This window comes from Homo sapiens, chromosome 5 (genome assembly GCF_000001405.40).
Source record: "Homo sapiens chromosome 5, GRCh38.p14 Primary Assembly".
Classification (NCBI taxonomy): domain Eukaryota; kingdom Metazoa; phylum Chordata; class Mammalia; order Primates; family Hominidae; genus Homo; species Homo sapiens.
In genome coordinates, this window is record NC_000005.10 from 12864939 (window position 1) to 12876346 (window position 11408).

The window sequence follows — 11408 nt, forward strand, 5'->3', positions numbered from 1 at the left end:
CAGCTCATGTAACAGAAGTCAGGGGAAAGCACTTTCCAAAGATTCGAACCCCAGCAATAAAACAAGAGAATACTCTTTCTCAAATACACTGCCTTTTTATTAGGGTTGCTTCTTTTAGTATATTTATCTTATTATGTACTACTCAAGAATACCTTCCTCTAAATTAATTAATGAAAACATACTTATTCTAATGAAGGAGCATTCTAGAGAAAGATTTTCACTGGTCTGGCTTTGGTAGTCACCATTATCTGGGGCATTTATTCACACACATATCTCAAATATAGGGCTGGGAGACAGTGTGGCTTTGGTTGGCTTTCCCCCGTACCCATATTTACGCGGGAGACTAGCAGTTCCAGCAAAGAGAGGTGGAGACACAGGTGTGCATAGAGGAAAATATAAACATGTGGTACCCAAAACATTAAATGACAACAGTCATTTAATGGCTAAAATGTGTGCAAGTACGGATTCCAAAATCAACTGTGTGATTCTCAAAGAGTTGGACATTATTAAAGGTAATCATTCTAAACAACTTTACTCTCAGGGACTTCCTTACTTTATTTTTCTTCCTCTTTGAGTGAGGATAATGGAGGGTAGAGAAAAAGGTTACTGGCATTCACCATTAACTCCAAGCTTCCTTAGGCTCCTAGATAATCACTTCCTTTGTGGTCAGACAAACCCTACTCCTCTGAAGTTCATTCCACTGTACTGAGTCCTTCTCACCATCCTGATTGCAATCATCTCACCACATCTTGGCCTTTCTGCCTCATTTTTCCAAAACATTAGCACCAAGACCTCAGTTTTCTTTCCAACCTGTGTTTTAAAAGCATTCCTAGATACTTTAAATTCCTCCCATGCAGATGCAGATGTCTGAAACACCACCAAATCCTCTCATTTACTTAAACTATTGATCTCTATTTAAAATTCTCTACACTTCACCTTACTCAGAAGCTTGTATGTTTATACCTGGAATATCTAATCACCATAAAATACGCTGCTTTGAAAATCATTAATTCAGTGCCTTAATGTAATGAACCAGTCTTCTACATCACTTCATTAGGCAATCTCATTACAACCATTATTTAATTTCACTGCATACATTTGCTTTTATCTTACCCCAAATTTAGTTTCAATAAACTATAAACAATACCAATTTATTTAGCTCATAAATAAACAATACCAATTTATTTAGCTCAAAACTGTGGTCCTAGGTTGGGGGTTTTCAACTGGTCCCCCTCATGTCTCTGTGGACAACTCTCGGGTTACCTGAGGATTGGCTGGTGATATAGTTTGAATACATATTTCTGCCAAATCTTGTGTTGAATTGTAATCCCCAGTATTGAAGGTGGGGCCTGGGGGAAGGTGACTGGATCACAGTAGCACACCCCTCATGTCTTGGTGTTGTCCTCACAATAGTGAGTGACTTCTCACAAGATCTAGCTGTTTAAAAGTGTGTGGCACTGGCCGGGCGTGGTGGCTCACGTCTGTAATCCCAGCATTTTGGAAGGCTGAGGCGGGCGGATCATGAGGTCTAGAGATCTAGACCATCCTGACCAACATGATGAAACCTCATCTCTACTTAAAATACAAAAATTAGCTGGGCGTGGTGGCATGCGCCGGTAGTCCAAGCTATTCGGGAGGCAGAGGCAGGAGAATTGCTTGAACCCAGGAGGTAGAGGTTACACTGAGCCAGGATCACACCACTGCACTCCAGCCTGGGAGACAGGGCGAGACTCCATCTGAAAAAAAAAAATGTGTGTGGCACCTCTCCCCATACTTGCTCTTGCTTTTGCTATGTGTCATGCTGGCTTATGCTTTGCCTTCCACCATGAGTAAAAACTCCCTGAGGTCCCTGATCCCCACAGCCTCCCATTAGCTGGGCAGACGTCAAGACCATGTTTCCTTTGCATCCTAAAGAACTGTGAGCCAAGTAAGCCTCTTTTATTTATAGATTTCCAAGCCTCAGATCTTTATTTACAACAATGCAAGAATGACCTAATACAGAAAAGTGGTATTAAGAGTGGATTATTGCTATAAAATACCTGAAAATGTGGAGCAGCTTGGAACTGAGTAACAGGCAGAGGTTAGAAGAGTTTGGAGAGCTCAGAAGAAAACAGGAAGATGAGGGAGAGTTTGGAACTTCTTAGAGACTGGTTAAATGGTTGTGACCAAAATGCTAATAGTGATATCAGCAATGAAGTCCAGGATAACGAGGTCTCAGAAGGAAATGAGAAACTTATTGGAAACTGGAACAAAGGTCATACACATTATGCCTTAGCAAATAGCTTAGCATCATTGTTTCCCTATCCTAGGGATCTACAGAAATTTAAACTTGAGACTTATGATTTAGGGTACAAGAAATTTCTAAGCAGCAAGTCATTCAAGGGGTGACTTGGCTGCTTCTAATAGCCTATTCTCAGATGCAAGAGCTTAAAGTTATAATTTATACTTAAAAGGGGAACAGAGTATAAAAGTTTGAAGGGGAGGAGTTGCCCAGGCCTCAGGAGCCCACCATTCACCCCAGTGTGACCTGGATGCACAATATGGAGTTAAAGGAGATTATTTTGGAGCTTTAAGATTTAATGACTGTTCTGTTGGGTTTTTGAATTGCATGAGCATGTAGCTTCTTTTTTTTGGTTGATTTCTCCCTTTTGGAATGGGAATATTTACCCAATGCCTATACCTCCATTGTCTCTTTGGAGTAAATAATTTGTTTGACTTTACAGGCTCCTAAGTGGAAGAAATTCATCTTCAGATGAAACTTTGTACCTGGACCTGAGACATTAGAGTTAATGCTGGAATGAGTTAAGATTTTGAGGGACTGCTGAGAAGGGATAATTGTATTTTGCAATGTGAGAAGAACATGAGACTTAAAGAACCAAGAGCAGAATTATATAGTTGTAAAATACATCCCCACCAAATCTCCTGCTGAATTGTAATCTTCATGTTGGAGGTAGGGCCTAGTGAGAGATGGTTGGATCATAGGGGTGGATCCTTCATGGCTTGGGGCTGTTCTTGTGATAGTGAGTGAGTTCTTGTGAGATGTGGTTGTTTAATTGTGTGTAGCACCTCCCTTCTCCACTTGCTTTTACTTTCATCATGTGACTTGGTGGCTCTTGCTTTGCTATCCACCATAGGCAAAATCTCCCTGAGATTTCTGCTCCCTGTGGCCCCCCAAAAGGTGAACAGATGTCAGTGCTATGTTTCTCATGCAGCCTGCAGAACCGCGAGCCAATTATACCTCTTTTCTGTATAGATTATCCAGCCTCAGATATTTCTTTATAGCAATGCAAGAATGACCTACTATAGCTGGCATCAGATGGTCTCAACTGAGCTAGCTCGTCTCTGCTACATATAGTCTTTCATCCTCCAGGCTTTTTCTCATAATGACTGGGAAGGATTCCAAGAGAGCCAGCAGGAGCTTGTAAGGGTGTCTGAGGTCTAAACATAGTTCTGACACAAAGTCATTTCTGCTCAATCTAATTTTTCAGAGTTAGTCGTAAGTATTGACAGGAGACATGGTAAAGTTGCATTGCAAATAGATATGAATTGTAGGAAGGGAATAATTATAGCAATTTATTTCAGGAAAATAATAGATTTATCATTGTCAGTCCTCCAAATCTAATCATTTACATCCCTCTTCTTCACCTCCTCCCAAGACCACCAAATCTCCAAATCTCCTCTGATCAATGGTGTTATGTTTGACAACCAGGACCTCAACCATCAATAAGAGATATATAAGTGGTCCCTCTTGATTAAGGTGCCTATGAACAAAGATTAACAAGCCAGCCTTCCTCTACATATGCAAAGTACACTGGAGAGACAAGGAGAGGATATGCAGGAGATACTCTCATATAACATTATATACATATAATGTGTATGTGTGTGTATATATATACACACGATATGTATGTACACACATTATATGTATATACACAATGTATGTGCGTATACACATATATATAGTGTGTGTGTATATATCTGTTGTGCGTGTATATGTGTATATGTGTATACACGTTGTGTATGTGTGTATATGCACACGTACAACAGCCACTGGTCTACAGCAATGACTGAAATTCCAACGGGAAAATGTTGCCAGCTTCTCCAAGACCAGACCAGAATGTTTGTTCATTAGAACTCAGTTCTGTTCCCTGGGAAAAGCTCTCCAGGCTATTGCTTTTTAATGCTTCTTGGGAACAACTTCATAATCCACTGGTCTGTAAAGTTTTCTGGGAGTGGCTCCTTAATGCATTGTTCTTCATGCTTCTCTCCATGATCCTCAGCTCGACACCCTGAAATATTGTGTTATTTTCTCAAAGTAATGATCTGTGTTTGTATGGTGATAACTATTGATGAGTTGGTAGATGATTCTGTATGTTTGTGTGTGAGTAGCCTGCTTTATGTTCACATAAAGTTAAAATGCCAGAAGCCTTTCTTGTAATTTGAGCTGTCTCAGTCACTTTTAATCTAAGTTACCAGTGTTTTCAGCCGCATACTTTTCTAACAATTTTGGATGTTTTTTGAGGTTGAGTAAACTTCATTACCAAAATTTACATAACATTTTAATTCTAGACAGGTAGATGCCAATGCATTTATTTAGAAGAAACATACCATTCAGCTCTTGGTTTTATCTTTGTCCATAGGGCTTGTTTCACTTCAAAATCTGTAATTATCTGTGAATCCTACATGCTAAACAAAGTTTATTTTCCAATATAACACAACTGGTCCTATATATTTTCTGTAAATTCTTTTTTAAAACATTAATTCTTTCTATAACTCACCTTTTTCAGTGACTTAACAGTGACAGCTAGGTACTCAGGTGACACATTCAAAAATATGCCTAGATCTGTCTTTAGCTAAGTCCAAAGATCTTTTAGTGCACTTTATATCTTCTAAATTAATTTAGGTGGTAGTTTTGACAATTGTTCCACTAATACAGATGTCATTTTTCCAGACTCCAGTTATACTATATTCATTAATTCTGCAGTCTTTGCTAAAAATATATCATTTTTCAAGCTCTACATGCCACTTGGTCTTAAAGCTAGTTTTACTTTGAAATAGGAGAGGTCCCCAGATGATCTTGGCCTTGTCAGTTCTTTCCTCTCTGCTTGTAGCTCTCAGAATATCTGCAAATGCAATATCCTGAGATAAGGAAGAAATGTCTAGAACAGCCTGCGCTGTGTCCTCATGTCTACCAAAACAAATTGTCCTGCAATACTTTAACTCAGTGATCCTTGTTGTGCCTGGTATATAAAATCCAATATGGAATGCTTTTGGTGTCTCTCAGCTGCTGTGCAATGTGGTGCATGCACAGACAGCACTCCACCTGCCCTGGGCAGCTTTCCTGATTCTTTTTTTTTTTTTTAATTATTATTATTATACTTTAAGTTTTAGGGTACATGTGCACAACGTGCAGGTTTGTTACATATGTATACATGTGCCATGTTGGTGTGCTGCACCCATTAACTCGTCATTTAGCATTAGGTATATCTCTTAATGCTATCCCTCCCCCCTCCCCACACCCCACAACAGTCCCCTGTGTGTGACGTTCCCCTTCCTGTGTCTTGATTCTTAAAAGACCGGTTCTCCATGAATCCTACACTTCTATTTATCCTTGCTGCCTGTCTGCTTTGCCTGACTTGTGTGAATGTTCTGTATCCCCAGACTCAAATGGTAGAAAACCTTTGCACACATTTTTTAGGATTTTATTATGGCAAGGCCACAGTTCTAATACTTGACTTGTAGCATGAGAAAACTTCTACTATGGAAAACAAGCCAGAATAATACCAAAAAATGAGGTAATGACTGCTTAGGCGAACTTAAGAAACGCTTCCCATTAATTCGTTACTGTCAAACTGAAAGAGATACTTCCAGTGACACACTAAAAGCTTGATTTATGGCACTAATATATTAGACATTTACCTTCAGTGACATTAAGAGAAGCATATCGATTAAACTGTATGAATAATTTGATGTTAAGACAGGATTAATACAAGTAACAAAATAAACTTTCCAAATGATGTTAATATACTGTTATGAACAACATGAATTTAAAAGGATAGCCATACACAACTCTACAGCCATGTACAACTCTACAGGAAAACAAAACAAAAATTAAAAACAAAAGATGTAACACATACACCCACAAACCAACTGCATAACCACATCCTCTTCACTGTGTAACTTAGAAGATCAGGTATAAAAAGGAACATAGGGCTATGTTTCTAAAATATTTTCATATGACAAAATTATTACTTAATTTTGAGGTCCTTGATGTATGTTAGTATAATAAAGACTGAGTAATTATTGTTATAAAGACATCTAATATTCTTTGTGTGTGTGTTTAAGATTTCCTCATGTATATTTAAATGTAGAGCAGTTCCTTTTTGTCTGGGACATATCTATTGGTGTCTGTTTCAGTCTTAATTTACTGAAAGAGCTCTTCTTGGTTACATATTGATTATTTTGCATTGGTTTATTTTTGTGTATATTTTGACTTAGGAGCTTTTAATCTTTGCTACTCTTCAGAGTTTAATAAACAGGTTTGTTTTTATCAAATAAAATGAGTAAATAAGAGGGCACCAATTTTACACAATTGTTTGGAAGTAATAGTGTCAGAATCTGACAATCTCATGACAACATTTAAGTATGTGCACTATGAAAGAATAATTGTAATGTCCTTGAAAGTGGAATATTTGTATACTATTATTTACTGCAGGCCCTGATATAATGTGAAAATGACAACAGGTGCTAGATAAATATTTGTAATGTTAGTGATCTTTAATATTGGCACTTTCCAAATTGAAATTACAGTTTTATTTCAATAATATTATGAGAGGTTTTTAAAACACAAGGAAAAGGAAAGATCTTTCATGTTTATAGATCAGAAAAAGTAATATTGTTAAAATGTTCATAATACCCAAACTGAATCATTGATTCAATGCAATTCCTATCTTCCAATGACATTTTCAAAAGAATTAGAAAAGGAAGTCATAATTAATTTGTATGAAACTACAAAAGACACTGAGTAACCAAAGCTTTCTTGAGTTAAAAGAACAAAGCTGGAGATATCACACTACCTGAATTTGAAATGTACTACAAAGCTATGGTAATTAAAACAGCATGATATTGGCATAAAATCAGACACATTGATCAATGTAAGAAGATAGAGAGCCCACAAATAAAGTCACAGACTTAAAGTTAACAGACTTTTTACAAAGGTGACAAGAAGAACACACAATGGAAGAAATGGAGAAAAGGAAGTCTTTTTAATAAATGGTGCTGGCAAAGCTGGGTATCCACATTCAGAGAATAAAATTAGATCCTTATTTCACACCGCATAAAACAATAAACTCGGCCAGATGCAGGCTTATGCCTGTAATCCCAGCACTTTGGGAGGCCGAGGTGGGCAGATCACCTGAGATTGGGAGTTCAAGACCAGCCTGACCAACATGGAGAAACCCCGTCTCTACTAAAAATACAAAACTTAGCTGGGCATGGTGGTACATGCCTGTAATCTCAGCTACTCAGGAGGTTGTGGCAGGATAATCATTTGAGCCCGGGAGTCAGAGGTTGCAGTGAGCTGAGATCACGCCATTGCACTCCAGGCTGGCCAACAAGAGTGAAACTCTGTCTCAAAAAAAAAAAAAAAAAAAAAAAAACCTACTCAAAATGGATTAAAGACTTAAACATAAAACTTGAAACTGCAAAATCATTGGAACAAAACATATAATAAAGCTTCATAACATTAATCTGGACAATACTTTTTTTGAATATGCATTCTAAAGCAAAAAGCCAAAAGCAAAAATAGACAAATGAGATGACATCAAACTAAAAAGCTTCTGCAAAGCCAAGGAAACCATCAATAGAGTAAAGAACCAATCTACAGAATGAGATAACACACTTGCAAGCCATGACTTTCACAAGAGATTATTATTTTAAAATATATAAGAAACTCAAATAACACAATAACAAGTAAACAAATAATCTTATTAAAAATTGGGCAAAAGATCTGAATAGACATTTCTCAATAGAAGATGTACAAGTAGCCAAAAGGTATATAAAAATGATCAATATTACTAATTATCAGGAAAATGCAAATTGAAAGCACAGTAAGATATCACCTCACACCTGCTAGAATGGCTGTTATCAAAAAGACAAAAGATAACAAGTGTTGGCAAAGATTTGGAGAAAAGGGAACTGTTTTATACTGCTGTTGGGAATGTAAGTTCACACAGCCATTATGAAAGAAAATGTATGTAAGTTCCTCAGAAAATTAAAAGTAAGACTACCATATTATCCAGCAAATTGACTACTGAATTTATATTCAAAGGAAATGAAATTGATATGTCAAAGAGATATCTATCCTCTCATTTGTATTGCAGTAGTATTGGTCCATTTTCATGCTGCTGATAAAGCCATATCTGAGACTTGGAAGAAAAAGAGGCTTAGTGGACTTACAGTTCCACATGGCTGGGGAGGCATTACAATCATGGTGGAAGGCAAGGAAAAGCAAGTCACATCTTACATGGATGTCAGCAGGCAAAAAAAAAAAAAAAAGAGAGAGAGAGAGAGAGCTTGTGCAGGGAAACTCCTGTTTTTTAAAACCATCAGAACTCGTGAGACTTATTCACTACCATGAGAAGAGTCCAGGGGAAACTGCCCCCATGATTCAATATCTCCCACCAGGCCTTTCTTACAACATGGAGCATTTATGAGAGAACAAGTCAAGATGAGATGTGGGTGGGGACATAGAGCCAAACCATATCAACTGACAATAGTCAAGATATGGAATCAACCTAAGTGTCCATTAATGAATGAATGAGTAAAGAAAATTGGGTGAATATACACAATGGAATATCACTCAGCCTTAAAAAGAAGAAAATTCTTTCATTTGGGACAAAATCAATGAACCTAGAGGACATTATATTAAATGAAATAAGCCAGGCACAGGAAGATAAATGCCACATGATCTCACCTATATGTAGAATGTAAAAAAAAATAAAATGAATTTTGGAAGTGGAAAGCAGAATAGTGGCTACCCGCAGATTAGGGTTAGAAGTGACTATTAGGTGTTCATCAAAGGATATAAAATTTCAGTTAGATGAAAGAAATATGTTAAAGACATCCATTGTACAACATGGTAAATATAATTAATAAGAATGTATTATATTTTTAAAAATTGCTACAGTATAGATTTTAATTGTTCTCACCACAAAGTAAGTTTGTCTGGTAATACATATGTTAATTACTTCAACTTAGTCACTTCACAATATATACCTGTTTTAAACAACATGTTTTATATAGTAAGTATATACCATTTTTTGTCCATTAAAAATAAATGTTTATTGGCTACTTGTATTTCTTCTTTTGAGAATTTGTCATCAGTTACCCACTTTTTAATGGAGTTATTTGGTTTTTTTCTCACTGAGTTGTTTGAGTTCCTTTTAGATTCTGGATATTAGGAATTTGTCAAATGCATAGCTTGCAAATATTTTCTCCCATTCTGTAAGCTTTCTGTTTACTCTGTTGTTTCTTTTACTATACAGAAGTTTTTAGTTAATGAAATCCCATTTGTCTATTTTTGTTTTGTTGCATTTGCTTTTGAGGTCTTAGTCATAAATTCTTTGCCTAGGCTGATGTCTGGAAGACCTTTTCTTAGGTTTTCTGTAGACTTTTATAGTATCAGGTCTTCCATTTAATTATTTAATCTATCTTGAGTTAATTTTTATATGTTGTAAGAGGGGTCCAGTTTTATTCTTCTGTGTATGAAAATTTGATTTTTCCTTGTATCAGTTATTAAATAGAATTCCCTGTTTCCATTGTATATTTTTTGTTGATTTCTTTCAAATATCAGTTGGTTGTATGGATGTGGCTTTATTTCTGGGCTCTCTATTCATTTCCATTGATTTATGTGTCTATCTTATACCAGTACCATGCTATTTTGGTAACTATAGCCTTATAGTATAATTTGAAGTCAGGCTCAAAGAACTGAAAATTGAACTACCATTAAACTCAGCAATCCCAATAACTAGCTATCTATTCAAAGGAAAACGAAGTGTTCTGTCAAAAAATACCTACACTCATGTTTATCACAGAATGATTCATAAAATCAAAATCATGGAATCAACCTAAGTGTTCAGTGCAGATGACTGGATGAGGAAAATGTGGGATATATACACCATGGAATACTATGCAGCCATACAAATAATGAAATCATGCTTTCTACAGCAATAGACATGGAGCTGGAGGCCATTATCCTAAGTGAAACAATTCAGAAACAGAAAACAAATACAACCTGTTCTTACTTATAAGTAGAAGCTAAACAATGGGTGCACATGGACATAACATGGAAATAATAGTCCTGGGGATTCAAAAAGGGGAGAGGGTTGGAAGCAGGTGAATGTTGAAAAATTACCTATTGGGAAAAATGTTCACTAATTAGGTGATGGAGCCCAAACCCACCATTATGCAATATATTCATGTAACAAACCTGTACACATACCTGCTGAATCTATAAAAGTTTTTAAAAATAAAATAAAATTAAAATCAATAAATCAATACAAGCTATTTTGATAGCTACTTTATCAAATGACTTTCCAGATTAATTTTCTACCTTTATATGAGATGTCAAAAATAATTTTCTTTTTTTTTATATCTGCATGTTCTATAGTGTTACTTCTGGCTCCTTACAATCTATTACAATCTTAGTTCTATCACCATTCATTTCAATTAGAAGTCTGTGTGCCTTTTCTTGGCAAATTAAAAAGAAAAAATTCCATTTGTGTAGATTACAAAGTTTTCTGAATGTAAACTAGAAAGATGTTTGAATATTACCTCCAATATCTATTATTGAACATCTGAAATTATCTAGGTGGTAACATGTGTGCATACATAAGATATGTGTCTTGAAATATAGTTTATGGTATTTTTAGCCTGTCACCATAAAAGCATATTTAGAACCAAAACCAAAATACATTACAAGTGAAAACAAGACTGAAAACACCTGATTTCTCAAGTGTTTTTGAATGTTTGTGTAGCCCACAAAAATAACTATGAAGAAGTAAAATGGCTTGCTTATATTCACATGGGACTTACACTACATCTTATAGTGATTGTGAAAGAAATATTTAATAATATATTCACTTTCAAGGAAAATAGGTAATAACTGCTCTATTTACCAGGGTTTATTTATTTTTAAATAGATTTATGTATTTATTCGTTTATTTTATTTGAGACAAGGTCTCATTCTTTTGCCCAGGTTGTAGTGCAGTGGCACTATCTCTTCTCACTGCAACCTCCACTTCCTGAGCTTGAGTGATCCTCCCACCTCAGCCTTCTGAGTAGTTAAGACTACAGGTGTGGACCGCCACGCCTGGCTAATTTTTGTACTTTTGTTAAGATAAAGTCTC